The following is a 16,489-nucleotide window of genomic DNA, read 5'->3' on the forward strand; positions in this document are numbered from 1 at the left end:
AAATTAGAGGTGGGCCCTGGTGGGAGGTGATTGGATCAAGGATGAATTTCCCCCTTGCTGTTTTCATGATAGTGAGTGAGTTATCAGGAGATCTGATGTTTCAAAAGTGTGTGGCACATCCCCCTTTCTTCTCTCTCTCTCTCTCCTGTCTCTATGTGAAAAAGGTCCTTGCTTCCCCTTCCCCTTTTGCCATGATTGCAAGTATCCTGAGGCCTCCCAGTCATACTTCCTGTTAAGTCTGCAGAACTGTGAGTCAATTAAACCTCTTTTCTTTATAAATTACCCAGTTTCAGGTAGTTCTTTATAGTAGTGTGAAAACAGACTAATGTATCACCAAACCGCTTGCCACAATGGCTAATTTCCATTCCCACCAGCAGTGTATAAGCATTCTCTTTTCTCTGCAAGCCCACTAGCACCTTTATTATGTTTTTTGAATTTTTAATAACAGTTATTCTGACTGGTGTGATTTGTGATGTTAAGCATTTTTTCATATGTTTGTTGGTTGCTTGTATGTCTTCTTTTATCTGTTCATGCCCTTTGCCTACTTTTTAATGGGGTCGTTTTTTGCTTGTTAATTTAAGTTTCTTATAGATTCTGGATGTTTGACCTTTGTTGGATGCATAGTTTGCAAATATTTTATCCCACTCTGTAAGTTGCCTGTTTACTCTGTTGATAGTTTCTTTTGCTGTGCAAAAGTCCTTTAGTTTAATTAAGTCCCATTTGTTTATTTTTGGCTTGTTGAAATTGCTTCTGGCATCTTCATCATGAAATCTTTGGCAGATCTTATGTACAGAATGGTACTTCCTAGGTTATTGTCCAGGGTTTTTATAGTTTTACATTTTACATTTAAGTCTTTAGTCCCTCTTGAGTTGATTTTTGCATACAGTGAAAGGAAGGGGTCCAGTTTCAATTTTCTGCCTATGGCTAGCCAGTTATCTCAGCACCATTTATTGAATAGGGAGCCCTTTCTCCACTACTTGTTGTCAACTTTGTTGAAGATCAAACGGTTATAGGTGTGTGGCATTTTTACTGGGCTCCCTATTCTGTTCCATCAGTCCATGTGTCTGTTATTGTACCAGTTCTGTGCTGTTTTGGTTACTGTAGCCTTGTAGCATAGTTAGAAGTTTGGTAATGTGGTGTCTCCAGCTTTTTTCTTTTTGCTTAGCATTGCTTTGGCTATTCAGGCTCTTTTACGTTCCCTATGCATTTTAAAATAGTTTTTTCTAGTTCTGTGAAGAATGTCATTGATAGTTTTATAGGAATAGCATTGAATCTGTAAATTGCTTTGGGCAATATGGCCATTTTAACTATATTGATTCTTCCTACTCATCAGCATGGATGTTTTCACAATTTGTTTGTGTCATCTCTGATTTCTTTGGGCAGTGTTTTGTAATTATTATTGTAGAGATCTTTCACCTCTCTGGTTAGCTGTATTCCTAGGCATTTTTTTCTTTTTGTGGCTATTGTAAATAGGATTGCATTCTTGATTTGGCTCTCAGCTTGGATTTTATTGGTGTATAGAAATGCTACTGATTTTTGTACATTAATTTTGTATCCTGAAACTTTGCTGAAGTTGTTTATCAGATCAAGGAGCTTTTTGGCAGAGAGTATGAAGTTTTCTAGGTATAGAATCATAGCATCTGAAAACAGAGATAATTCGACTTATTCTTTTTCTATTTGGATGCTTTTCATTTCTTTCTCTTGCCTGATTACTCTGGCTAGGAGTTTTAGTACTTTGTTGAATAGGAATGGTGTGAGAGGGCATTCCCATTTTGTTCCAGTTTTCAAGGGGAATGCATCTAGCTTTTGGCCATAAAGTATGATGTTGTCTATGGGTTTGCCATAGATGACAAAGTTATTATTTAGAGGTACATTCCTTCAATGACTAGCTTGTTGAGGTTTTTTTTAACATGAAAGGATTTTGAATTTTATCAAAAGCCTTTTCTGTATCTATTGAGATAATCATGTGGTTTTTGTTTTTAGTTCTGTTTATGTGATAAATCACATTTATTGATTTGCATATGTTGAACCAACCTTGCATCTCAGGGATAAATCCTACCTGATCATGGTGGATTAAGGTTTTGATGTGCTGCTAGATTCAGTTTGCTAGTATTTTGTTGAGGATTTTTGCATAGATATTAATCCATGCAATATCTATAGATACTCATCAAGGATCTTGGCCTGAAGTTTTTATTTTTTGTTGTGTCTCAGCTAGGTTTTGGTATCAAGATTATGCTAGTCTCATAGAATGAGTTATTGAGGAGTTCCTCCTCCTCAATTTTTTGGAATGGTTTCAGTAGGAATAGTACCAGCTCTTCTTTTTACATTTGGTAGAATTTGGCTATTAATCCATCTGGTCCATGGCTTTTTCTGATTAGTAAGCTTTTTATTATTGATTCAATTTTAGAACATATTATTGATCTGTTCAGGGATTCAATTTCTTCAGGGTTCACTCTTCAGAGGTATGTTTTCAGGAATGTAGCCATCTCTTACGGTTTTCTAGCTTGTGTGCAAAGGGGTGTTCGTAGTAGTCTGTGAGGGTTTTTGTATTTCTGTGAGGTCGGTGATAATGTCCTCTTTGTAACTTCTGATTGTGTTTATTTGAATCTTCTCTCTTTTTATCTTTATTAGTCTAATTGATAGTCTGTTTACCTTATTTATTGTTCCAAAGAACCAATTCATGGACTTGTTGAATCATTTGTATGATTTTTCACATCAAAATTTCCTTCAGTTGCATCAACCTTTTGATAACTGAGTGGTAAAGAATAAGCCTGTCCATTTTATCCACATAGTTTCTATCAGTGTTTTGTTTTGCTTTTTGTTTTTTGCAGTTTATATTTCCCCTCTTTTTTAAAATTAATTCACTTCTGCTAAACTGTAAATTGTTTCTTTTCTTTTTTTTTTTTGAGATGGAGTCTCGCTCTGTTGCCCAGGCTGGAGTGCAGTGGCGCGATCTAGGTTCACTGCAAGCTCCGCCTCCCAGGTTCACGCCATTCTCCTGCCTCAGCCTCCCGAGTAGCTGGGACTACAGGAGGCTGCCACCACGCCCGGCTAATTTTTTATATTTTTAGTAGAGATGGGGTTTCACTGTGTTAGCCAGGATGGTCTCAATCTCCTGTCCTCGTGATCCACCCACCTCGGCCTCCCAAAGTGCTGGGATTACAGGCATGAGCCACCACTCCTGGCCACTGTAAATTGTTTCTAAAGACAAAGAGAATCGTTAAATTTTAAGATAAATATAATTTGACAGGGAAATCAAGGTCACCCTAGACACAATTATATATGCTGAATCCAGAGAGGAACCTTGTTTCTGCCATCTTTAATTTTAAAAGAAAAGTCCTAACTCAATTTGGGGAAGAGAATTTGTTGTCAGTTTTTCATAGCTTTCCCTATAATCAATTGCTGTCAAACCGAAGTACAGCAAAACTTGAAAAATAAAGTACTTTGGTTTAGTAAAAGTGATTTTTTCTTATGAATCTATTTTCAAAGTCTGAGTGTGTTATAATTAGGATGTATTAAATTATTCACTAAAAACAACTGCTGCATCTCATCAGATTAGTACTAGTGACACATACAGCTATAAATGTATCTCTTCAATGAGGTAGGCAACAATAAGAATATTTCATTTTCAATGTTAAATGAATGAATTATATGTTAATTAATTTATATTTATTTATATATTAAATTTCTACTTTAGGGACAATAATGTTGGTGTAGAAACAAATATAACATAATTTTTGTTATTGTTATACTCACAGAAGACTTTGGGAAGCAAAATAAAGTTTTACCTGGTTAAATAGCAATGCAAGAGGTAAATTGAAATTCAAAGCAACCCAAGGACTGAGAGAAGGAAGATCATAATAGTTGAATAAACATTACACAGTGTTATAAGAATCAGATATGGAGACATTTACGAGAATTGAAATAGACTGAAAACATTTAACTCGGAGAATAAAGGATCTGAGCTGAGTCTTGAAGAAGACACAGCTTTGATGAGTATCAGATACAGCATTTGCAGGTAAAATGTAGTAGATAATGGGTTCTAATAATTATTTTTCCTAAAATAGTATATAGTCATTCAATGGCAGGCTCTATCCTCACTTTGTCTGGATAGAGGATGTTAGGGTACATCAAAGACAATCAATCACATTGCCCAAGCTTCAGCTGCTAGTTTATGCCAGAATCAGTTATGGCATCTAGGGTAAAACCTCTTCTCATGTCATCATGGCCACCCTGGTATCTTGGGGATAACCTAGTGAAGGCAGAGATGAGTTTGAATTATAGAATATTGGATTTTATTCACCTAAATATTTACACTAATATTTTGGAATAAGCAATGTGTCTCAAGTACAGCTCAAATAATGTGTTTCCCAAGGCTGTCTTCAGATGAAGCCCATTTACACACTGGAGCGCCTTTCACAATCAACACTTCCTTCCTCTGCTTCCTATGCCTATAACCATATTAGTATACCTTATGGTATAAGGGACAATAGGCTCTGGAGTCATTGTTTGGATTTTGATTTTGGCTCCTTTCTTCATTATTTTCTGTGTAATACTGAGGATCTTAATCTCTCTGTGTCTTTGTTTCTACCACGATATCTACATGAATGAGATCTACTTTATAATACAGAATACATTAAACCATAAATGTATGTTGTTTATTATATCTCCTAGTACGTACTGAATGCTCGCTATCAGCCATTTATATTTTGGTCATTAATAAATGCATTAAGATAAAAGACAATGCTAAAGGTCACCAAACATCTAAGATGCCTGATTTATATTATTCCTACAAAAAAGAGCAATGGTTATCTTAGTTAATAAAAATTTTACTTAACATATTATACTCTACGGAAAATATTGTTTATATTATTAATAATAATGGCTACCTTTTAGTGAATGGTTATCACATGCCAAGCACAATACTAAGCATTTCAATTAAGATAATATACAAAAGAAATGGTTATCTCTGTTTGGTGATATTATGAATATTTTTTCTTGTATCACATCTGTATTTTAGAATAAATATGTGTTACTCGGTTTAAAAAAAAAGGTTATAGAAAGATATTCTAACTATCCAGGAATACAAGACACTTCGGAGCTACAACTCATATTGCCTTCTTTGTGATGCGATACTGAATATCTGTTGTACTTCCAACCACAGATGGTATCATTCAGTGGTGTTTAAAAGGACTTCTCTTCATAAATTCTGTAAAGTACATAAAGATTCTTTTCATAGGGAATGTAGTTGTGTGTTACTCTATGATGAGTATTAATGTACACATTTGTTTTGCTAGGAAACCGAACATTTTTCAAAGATGTGTGAATTTATAATTTATTATGTGGATGAAAGATGTTCGTACATTATAACTCTTTTTCCTTCTAAAATTTACTGAAGGAGAAAAAAAATTCCAACTCTTAAATCATTTCTGAATACTAAAATGTAGAATTATGGCAATTCAAATGGTGTTTATTATATATGAAAAAAGAAAATGGAAATAATAAATTCACGGAAAGCTTAAACTAAGTGATAAAATAATTTCTAACCTGGAAGTTTCCTGGTCTTGGTGTCAGTTAGAGGGATTGGAGGGGAAAAGGTACAGAAAGAAGATACAAGCTGAGAAAATGAAGACATTCTCATGATTAACAGGCCATTAGAAGTGAATTATAAAACATATCCTGGAGCCAGAATATCATTTTACTTACTGTTAAAAATGGAGAATCTATATTTCAATTGAAAGAATGTTCACTATAAGCAAGACTTTCCTCTGTATCCTTAAATATGTGTCTGTGTAGTGAGAAACATTTTAAGTTTATAATACTTTAAATTAGAAGGCAAGAAGTTTAAGTCAGTAACTTATTTATTTGACATCATAACTAGAGATGAAGATGAAAGATTAAAAATAACATATACCTATAAATTGTAAGTTGTTCCTAAAATCATCAGTCTGTAAAAGTGTAAATTCATTATAAAGGTCGTCAATTTATAGAAGTAGAAAAGTGAGTCAACTTAACTCTTAGGAAATATACATAGTGTAAAATATTATTGATACATTATTTATTTAGAAATTTAAATAATTGCATGTATATGATATAAAATATATATAGACATTCATACTATGTACTTTTAGATAAAGAAAAATCAATATATGCATATGTGCATATATGTGTGTCTGCATATATGTATATACACACATATGTATGAAATTAATGTATACATTATATACAATATGAGCATGTTCTAATTTTAAAAAGAGTTAAAATGTCTTGAATTCAGTTCTCAGGCATGCCCTGTAATTTTTTAATCAACTCACTTCACTTGATTTTTTTAAAGTGCTTATCATCATCTGAAAGGCTTCTTTCCTTACAAGTAGGTTTACTGGCTTATTCTCTGTCTACTCTCAACTAAAATGTGAGCTTCCTGTGAATTTTTTTGAGTAACAAATAATCAGCTCCCAGGATAGGGCTAGGATCATAATAGAGACCTCTAGAAGTATTATTTGAATGAATAAATAAATCTAACATTGAACATCAATGCATAAACTATAATTTGTGAGCCTACATTTTATTGTCTTTTTCTTTTAAATCCCTAAGGCACATTGAAGGAATCTTTAATAATCCAATATTATATTAGTGAAGGAAATATTACTTGATTGTGGTAATTATTTCACAATGTACACATATATCAAATCATCACACTCTGCACCTTGAATATATTCAATTTTTACTTGTCAATGATACATAAATAAAGCTGACAAAATAAATTATTAATGAGAATATTGCACCACTTGAATGATTCCTCTCACCACCATGAGGGATGAGTAGGGACTGTACCCCTTTCATTTAAGCATAACGAAAGACAAATTTCAAAAAGATCCGGCCAAAAAAATTAATATGTGTCCTGGGGAACATGTGAAAAGTTGACCAAAAAAATCTAAGGGTGAGAGGCTGACTGTGGTAGTGGGAAGAAGCCTGCGATTTGAGGGATAACTGAACTCTTCCCCTTAAGTGTCCAAGTTTTGGCTATACTTGATGTCATGTGTTCAAGGAAGGCCATTCAGGGTGTGAACATTTACGGAGACTGAAGAGACAGAGGCTGGGGTTGTAGAAGCTGAGTGAGAAAGGTGATAGCATCCAGATTATATATCGACTTCCAAAGATTTTAGCTTTTATACTCGGAAAGTGGGGAGCAGTTAGAAGATTCTGAGCTGATGAGTGGCATGATTTATGCTTGAAATGGGTCGCCCTAGCTTCTGTGTTGAGCATGGGAAGTAGGAGAGAGAGGTGGAGGGGAAGACTAGTGTAATAATTCCAGAGATATTTACGATATCTGGCCCAGGTGGTAACCATTATCATGTTTCACCTGGAACATTACATGTAGTCCCTGCTCCCTTTAACTGTCCTTCTTACTCTCTTCTCCTCAATCAGTGATGTTGGATAGAAACTAAAAGTGAAAGAAAGAATGTGGAAGTCAAATGTAGAGTCTCAGTTCAGGCAGCCAGCTCAAAGCAAGACCACACTGAGGGCAGGAAAGAGCTTCAGTTTAAGAGACGTTTGGATTATTTTGATCATTACATTGGATTAAATTAATTAATAAATAAACTGAGACCGTTCTTGTGAATATAACTGACCTTAGATATATTTTTTAATTTCTTGGCCGGGCACAGTGGTTCATGTCTGTCTGTAATCCCAGCATTTTGGGAGGCCAAGGCAGGGTTGAGGGGCAAGGGAGATCACTTAAGGCCAGGAGTTCGAGACCAGTCTGGGCAACATGGTGAGATCTTGTCTCTAATAAAAATACAAACATTAGCCAGACATGGGGCAAGTGCCTGTAATCGCAGCTACTCGGGAGGCTGAGGCAGGAGACTTGCTTGCACCTAGGAGGCACTGTTGCAGTGAGCTGAGATAGCGCCATTGCACTCCAGCCTGGGTAACAGAGCAAGACTCTGTCTAAAAAAAAAATATATATATATATATATATATGTAATTATATATATTTAAATATATATATATGTAATTATATATGTATAAATATATATATATATTTAGTTTCTCAAGAGAGGACATAAGCTATGAGATTCAACTGATACTTTATCTGAGGGCAAGAGAAAACCAGTTTCAAGAGAGCTTGAATGGTAGCCAGAATTAAGAAAAAAAAAGTTTTTTGCTTTTTATTTTTTTCATTACATCCAATAAGTTCTGCTCTTTTAACAGATTGGCTAAATGGGAGTTGTATTTATGTCTGTGGTGCTGTTTTTCCTTGGAAATGTTACAAACTCTTGATACTGGGATATTAAAGGTACTAGGAAGCCCTGCAGCCCTGCAGTAATAAAACCTTATTTTATATTTCCTAAAATCTGAACATGAGTCCTTTTGAAAGTATTACATAAATGAAGTGAAAAAAGTATACTCTTGAAACTCATGATGTACATGAGATTGTCTTCTAGCTTTGTCAGTTCCTAGCAGATCATTTCATATTTAGACCTTCTCTTACCTGTAAATGGCAAGTAATATTTCTATTACAGGTATTTTTGAGAAGAAGAATGCAAATTATAATGTAGAAAAACTGCATGGTGATTAATAAAACCTTATTAATCTAATGTCTAACATCAATGAAAAAATTACCTTTTCTTTCTATTTTTGTTAGACTTTGAGTGTAACTGCTTGAAGTAATTACATCTCTCATTTCATGGAAAATTATCAACATTGATCTATACAAGACCCATCTCTTGTTGACTGAATGTTTTATTCATTTTTAAATTCATTCCCTACTCTCAGACAACATTTACTTTTCAGAAGTATTTTCTATGCATCATTTTGTTGATATATGCTTTTATAACATGTCTATTGTTGTTTGTGGTGCATATTATTTTAATTTATAAATATGGTATTGTATTGTAGATTTTATCTCTTTCTCATTGTTATTATTATTTTTCATCTCCCCATTGTTTCCTTCTTTAGCTCTGTCTACGTCTATATGACCACTATCTACTCTTGCTGCATTATCCTCAATGATGTGCACCCACCACGTTTTTCAAATACATTTCCCCAGTCATAGACAACCACACTACTTACAACATCTCATTCTCCAAAATAAAACTGTGATTAATATCTACACTCATGTCTCCCGAGGGGCCTATATGAGAATTTCTTTGGGATGTAAACCCAGGTGTAAGCAAATATTTCAATTTACTCAAAATTGTGCCGTAAATTGTCCAAAATGTTGCACCAGACTTGAATCCCACCAGTAATACAGAGTGTTCCTGTATTTCAACATCTGCTTATATTCCAACACCAACTTGACTTATCCAGCTGTTTAAAATGTGGGAGCTTAAGAAGCATAAAGCAATATCTGCTTGTTTTAATTTACAGTTTTCCATTTCTAATGTGGTTTAGAGTCTGTTGTTGTTTTGATGCTTTCAGCTTTGTCAAATGCTTTAATGTAACCTTTATTCATTTTTCATTTGTTTTCATCTTTCTTCTGATTATTGTTGATAATGATGATTTGCAGGAGCTCTTTGCATATTCTTAGTCAGTCCTTGATATTTTTTGATATTGCAAATATTTCTCTCAATTGGGCGGAGGGAAAATGTATGGCATAGTGGTAAAGGATATGGATTCTTCATTTACTTTCCAAGTAAGCTTAGACAAGTTACTTAACTAGATTTTTGTTGGTTTTCTTTTTGAGTCATCAGCAAAATGAGCATAAGTACTCTCTGGCACACAGTAAACACTATATAGGTATTAGCTCTTATCATCTCTTGTTTGATTTTATTCATGGTGTTTTTGTTTAAGATAAATTCTTCATGTTGAATTGTAATTGAATTTTTTATAGTTCGGTGTTTGTGGATTTTGTTTAGAAAGTCTTACTTCACTCCTATATCACAAGGTGTTACACTATCTTTTCTTCTGTTAAATTTGTTGTCTGACTTTTCACTTGTGGACCTTTAATCTATTGAATATATTGTAATTTTAACATTGAATGTGGTATTAGATAAGGATCCAGTTTTCTTTTTTCTCCAGCTTGAGCCATTTGTGACAATCTCAACTACAAAGCCCCATTCATTCGTGTGGCCACCTAACCATTTATATTTTTAAAATGTGACACAAACAAACTGTAAACTAAGAGTGTAACAATAGCTTTGATATTAGTGTTGAAATGGAGAATACAACTTGGAATAAGTGGGAAGGAGCACCTGAGTTTATGGTCTAATCTGCCCCCAGAGAAATCAAGGATTTTGTGAGCTATAATTTCTGATTCTATGATATTTCTATGATATAAGTAATCATTTGACTCTAATAAAATAATTTTGTCACCTTTCAAAAGGAATCTTGATTACATGCTAAATGACTGCATCCATATGGTTTTGGAATTGCTATTTAAAAGACAAAGCTTTCCTTTTTAAGCTCTCTCTGTGTTCCTTTCCCTCCTCACCCCAATATAAACTGATTTAGTTAAGAGTGGACGTGAATGGATTCTATTTCTTCAAGGAAATAAAAAAAACTCATTCACAATTACTGTAATTATTACGTATGGAACGGAGAAAGAAGAGAAAAGGAATGTAAGATGGTGATAGGTTAAAAGGATCACGGGCGTTGAAGGTAGATGTCTTTGGGATGTAAGTAAGTCTTGGCTAAATAATTTTTAATATACATGTCTACTCCCATACTCAGTTTTCTCATCCCTACTGCATACATTTGTGGTGTTATTTTAATAAAAGAATGAACCTCTTAAGTTTCTAGCCAAATGTTTGGTAATATAATAGTCAATACATGTTAATCTTCCTTCTTTTGCTTTCTTAAATATAAAATTAGTCAATTTACAACTATAAATGCAATTTTCTTTATAAAGATAATGTTTTAACTGGCTTACATTTTATGTTTTTCAGACTTGCATCATTTATATTTTTAATTCATCGAGGATGAGAAAATTGATTAACACAAAATCTTTTCATGTCTTTTCTGATGAGAGACTAGCTGAATCCAAGAAGAGAAGCCCTTGAAGAGTGTATTCTATTCTAGACAAGCATTCACACATTGGCTTCTTTGGTGCCAGGTAATTAGAATTTGTAATTTGGTCTTAATTAAACTGCAGACTACCCAAAGGCCTTGATCAGTGGCCTTTTGACTGCCTCCACCGTTTGGAGGAAACAAACAAAACACAAATTAGCCTTTAAAAATATGCCCATTGATTTCTCCTCATCTCCCCAAACATATACAACCCCACCAGATATATATTTATATTGGCTATAAAAATATGCCCATTGATTTCTCCTCATCTCCCCAAACATATACAACCCCACCAGATATATATTTATATTGGGTATAATGTCAACATATATCAAATGTGCCAATTAAACACAGAGCTCCTCTAAACTACCAAGCATGTTATTATTATTATTTTAATTTTTAAAACATTTCTAACTTAACAGAAACATTGGCCGGGCAGCACTAATTGTATCATTCCTATGTACTACCAACTTCTCACCAGTATTGAACTTGATCTTCAAAACTCTTCCCAGATAGGGCTATTTTTCCACTGACTCTATTGTTATTCCTTCCCATTTTCCCTCCTCTGTTTTTGATGCTTTTTATTTTGGTTAGCATGTTTCTGATCAGCATGAAAACTGCGCAGGAGCTTTTCTGTCTTGCAGAGCTAGTTAATGAGATTGTTGCTGCCTTCAGATTCTATAAAGGACTTCTCCAATATTGGGTGAGATTAAAGTCAAAATCAAGAGAATTTATATTTCAGTTGAATCTATGTAAGTCTGTTAAAAAAGTAATGGGCTCAGGGTCAAACATCAGTAATTGACCCTCACTCTACAGATTATTAATTGTATGACTGTATTTCTCAGTATCCTCATCTATAAAACCAGGTTAGCAAAAACTGCCTTCCTACTTCAAAAGGCACAAATAAAAACTAAACTAAAAGCCATACAAAACAAAGTGGATAGCTCATTTGCTTTACTTGGAATGACAATTCAACATAGTATTTTAAATTCCTGTCTTTTAAAACAGTGATTTCACACATATTGGCTCATTAAATTCTTCGTATTATCAAGAGTTGCTTAATACATTTGAGAACACAAAACAATGGCCTTTTCTGTGCCTTTTTTAGGTGGTAATTATTCTTTAGTAAAGTCGGGTTGTTTTAATTGAAAATGAATTTAGGTTTTTAATCAGGATTAGCACAAGTCGATGTGTTCTCAGTTGTTGAAAGTTAAACTAGTATTGCTATATTTCAATGATTGCTAGAATAAAGAAATAAAAAAAAAATAGACATGTTGAGTAAAGCTTTATGAGTTATATAAATGCATAATTATATTTGCATAGGTAAACAATACATTTTTTTTCTATTTTTGCTAAGTAATAAGTTAGTTAATATATTATGTAAGAATGAAAATGATTCAAATATTTGCCTGTTTCTAATCTTAGATTAAAGAATGAAGAAAGGATCAAATTGAGACATCCAGGGGGGAAGAGTTCCCTGGCAAAACTCCAATCTGCCTGAGCACTGAGGTGGAGCCACAGAAGTCCGGGTCATTTGCACCTGGGAGGAGCCTGGCCCCTCCTCTTCCTGTGTGGAATCTGGGATTTAATCTGTGAGGAGGGAAGGCCAAGGGCAGGAAGCACAGGCTCTCACTTCACTAAGAGTCTCTGTTTCCCCTTTTTTTCCTTTATGCCTAATTAATAAATCCCATTTTTCTCACTCTTCAAATAGTCTTCAAGCCTAAATTTTCATGACCATGGAACAAGGACCCCATCTTTAGCTGAACTAAGGAAAAGTCCTGCAACAAAATTCTTTGCTAAAAATACATGAGGTTGCCTTTTCCTTCTTAATCTTAAAAGAAATATATTTCAATGGTTAACGTTTTAGTAATTCAAAAATTATCAAGCATTTGTTCACAACCATAAGATGTGCATTGTTTTATATTCCTACTTAATAATAGACTATAATTGTCTAATTAGACTGCCGATGTTGATCTTTGTGGCTCATTGCATTGATTATAAGCAGTGTTTTGGGTTTGTGTGTGTGTGTCAAATTTAGGGTTTTTTTGGTATGGCTGCTGGTTGGTGTAGCCTGTATCCAGTATCCTGTATTAATTCTAATATTTGCATTTTGAACATATTTACAAGTTGCTAAAATAGCAAAGCTTCGAGATGAGCCTGGCTGATATGGCAAAACCCCGTCTCTACTAAAAATACAAAAATTAGCCTGGTGTGGTGGTGCATGCCTGTAATCCCAGCTACTTGGAAGTCTGAGGCAGGAGAATCTCTTGAACCCAGAAGGTGGAGGTTGCAGTGGGCCAAGATCGCACCACTGCACTCCAGCCTCGGTGATAGAGCGAGACTACGTCTCAAAAATAAAATAAAATAAAATAAAATAAAAATAGCAAAGCTATGTATGGTTTCTCTGAGTTTTGTAATTTATCATTGTTAACTGCAGAAATTTATTATATGAGACATATTATATGAGACATATAAGTGAATTTGGATTGGGTTTAATTTTATATTTTTGAATATAGTTCTTCAAGATAAATTTTATCTTAGACCTCAAGAAATAAAAATAAAATAAATTAGATATACAAACGAACACAAATGTATGCAGTCCTAGCCTAATTTAAGACATTAACTTGGATAAGTCAAAGGTATATGTTGCAATTCCTGGAGTAACCACTAAAAATAATACAATACTATTATATCTAGAAATCTAATAGAGTAATTAAAAAGTTTTATTAATCCCCAAAAAGGCAGAAAAGTTAGGACATACACATATACACACACACACACAGACAGATACAAAAACAATAGCAGTTAGAGACCTAAATAAAACAATCATCATAATTATACCAGGAAAAGACTGCTAAACAGAATTTTAAAAGGATCGATTTTATCCTGTCTATAAGAGATGCATGTTAGAAACAAAAATACAAGAAGATTGAAGCAAAAAGATGAAAAAAGATGATATACTAAGCAAACAACAGTAAGTTAAAGAAAGTTGGATGACAATACCAACATTGGAAAAACATCAACTTCAAGATGAAGAGGAATATGAAAGAAGGACATTGGATAATGATAAAAGGATGGATATATTTTCAAAGTATAATAGGTATAAATATATGAGCCCAATAAAAGATTATCAAATGTAATGAAGCAAAAACTGTCAGAATTAAAGAGAGATGTATAGAAATTCACAATTATAGTTGTTGACTTTAACTTCTCTCATTCAATAATGAATACATTACTAGACAAAGAACCAATAAAGATATGAAAGATGAAAATGACACTACCAACTCCTTAACCTAGTTTTTATTTATAGAACGTGGCACCCAACAACTACGGAATGAATATTTTTTCCAATCTCATGTAGAAAGTGCATCAAGATAGACCATATTATGGGCTATAAACAAATCTCAATAAATTTCAAAAACAAAATAAAATAAGTTTTCTGACCACAATAAAGTTATAATAGGAAACAACATAACCTTAAAAATGTTTTGAAAAGAACCAAACATTTAGACATTAATTAACTCATTTCTAAAGAACTTATGAGCAATTAGCAAGTATTTTTTAACCAAATAATAATAAAAGCGCAACACATCAAAATTAGTGGAACACAGTTAAAGCAGTGCTTTATTTCAGAACTTGTGACTCGATAAATTCTTATATTAGAAAGAATAATAACCTAAAGTCAAAGATACAAACTTTCATCTTTGGGAAGTACAAAAAAATATCAAATTAAACTCACTCAAGGAAAAAAATAGGTAATGAACAAAAAAAATAGAAATGACTCATGCTATAGAAAAGTCAATAAAAAAGGTAATTCTTTGAAAAATTTAAAAAGTATATATATATATAAAAGTCTAGCTAGATAGTTCAAGATTTAAAAAAAAGGAGAATACAAGTTACCAATATTGGGAATGAAGACAGGGATACCATTTCATACTCTGTAGGGATTAAAAATTAAATACTATAAATAAATTTATGCCAATTATTTTTTCAACTTAAATGAAATGAACAATGACTGAGAAAACACAATTAATTACCAAAATACATATAATAATGAATAGAAAATTTAAATAATTCTTGTATTAGTTTCCTGTTGCTGGTATAACAAATTACCACAAACCTAGTGACTTGAAACTACACAAAAATTTGTCTTATGTTCTGTAGGTCAATATCTAAAATGAGTCTCACTGGACTAAAATCAAGGTGTCATCCCGACTGCCTTTTTTCTAGAGACACTAGGGAAAAAACTGTTCTGCCTTTTCCATTTTCTAGAGAGCATCTGAATTAGTCGGCTCATGGTCCCTTTGTCTATCTTCAAAGCCAGCAATGACCAATTAAGCCTTTCTTGAATTGCATCACTCTGATACTGGCTTTTCTATCTTCTTATTCTACATTTAAGGACACATGTGATTACCTTGAGCCTTTCCAGATAATCCAAGATGAACTCCTTATCTTAAAATCAGCTGGTTAATATTTAAATTGCTCTCATAATTCTACTTTGTTATAAAAAGTAGCAATTCACAAGTTGTGGAAATGAAGATGTAGACATTTGTGTGAGGCCACTATTCTGTTTACCATAGCTCACTCTATATATTAAATCAATTAAATTAAAACCTCAGAACTTTGGCCTAGACAACTCTAAGCCCAAATGCTTTCATACTCAAAATCTATTCAACATTTATGGGAGAAATAATATAAATTTTCCAACAAATTATTCAGAATAAAAATATATTTACCAACCCCTGTTTGTAAAGTTCATGTTCTTGTACAGTAACACTAGATCAGGACATTACAAGGAAAGAGTAGTATACACCAATAATGTCATAAGCATAGATATATAAATCCTAAACAAAATATGAGCAAATCAAATGCAATACTATATGAAAGGAATTACACATCATAACCAAATGGAATTTATATCAGGAATGCAAGTTAGTTTAGTATTTGATGTATTTTAGTATTTAATCAATGCATGTCACAAAATTAATGAAGAAAAACAGAAGAAAAAACATATGAGCCTATCTATAAATGTATAAAATGTATTTGACCATACTCATTCATAATAAAAGCCTACTAAAATAGAAGAGAACTTTCTCAACTTTATAAGAGATATCTGTAAATCTACAGGAAATGTACTTAAAAGTAAAAGAAGATTTTCCTCTTAAGATTGGGACAAGGCAAGGATTCCCCCTCTTTTCTCTTTTAATTCAACATTATTTGGAAGTCCCAGTAATTGTTATAAGAAAAAAGACAGAATGAATGAAGTAAACCTCTTTATTCATAGATGACAGGAATGAAAATACTTAGGGATACATTCAAAAATATTTGTGCAACAACTGTACCCTGACAACTCTGTCAGTATAAACTCTGTTGATAGATATTAAAGAAGACTTAAATAAATATAGCAATACACTGCATTCATGAATTGGAAAGCTCAGTATTGTTAAGATGTTAATTTTCCCCAAATTGAACCATAGAT

General features: G+C 33.1%; 1 long non-coding RNA gene across 1 annotated transcript in view; it reads left to right on the forward strand.

Annotated features, from left to right (window-relative positions):
• The window catches only part of LINC02328 (long intergenic non-protein coding RNA 2328), a 195,101-nt gene extending 182,383 nt beyond the window's left edge, over positions 1-12,718 (forward strand). Inside the window, exons 3-4 of the long non-coding RNA NR_110155.1 lie at positions 10,890-11,056; positions 12,436-12,718. This is a non-coding gene — a long non-coding RNA (long intergenic non-protein coding RNA 2328). The remainder of the gene's footprint in view (positions 1-10,889; positions 11,057-12,435) is intronic.
• The last annotated feature ends 3,771 nt before the right edge of the window (positions 12,719-16,489 follow it).

Source organism: Homo sapiens, chromosome 14 (genome assembly GCF_000001405.40).
Source record: "Homo sapiens chromosome 14, GRCh38.p14 Primary Assembly".
NCBI classification, from domain to species: domain Eukaryota; kingdom Metazoa; phylum Chordata; class Mammalia; order Primates; family Hominidae; genus Homo; species Homo sapiens.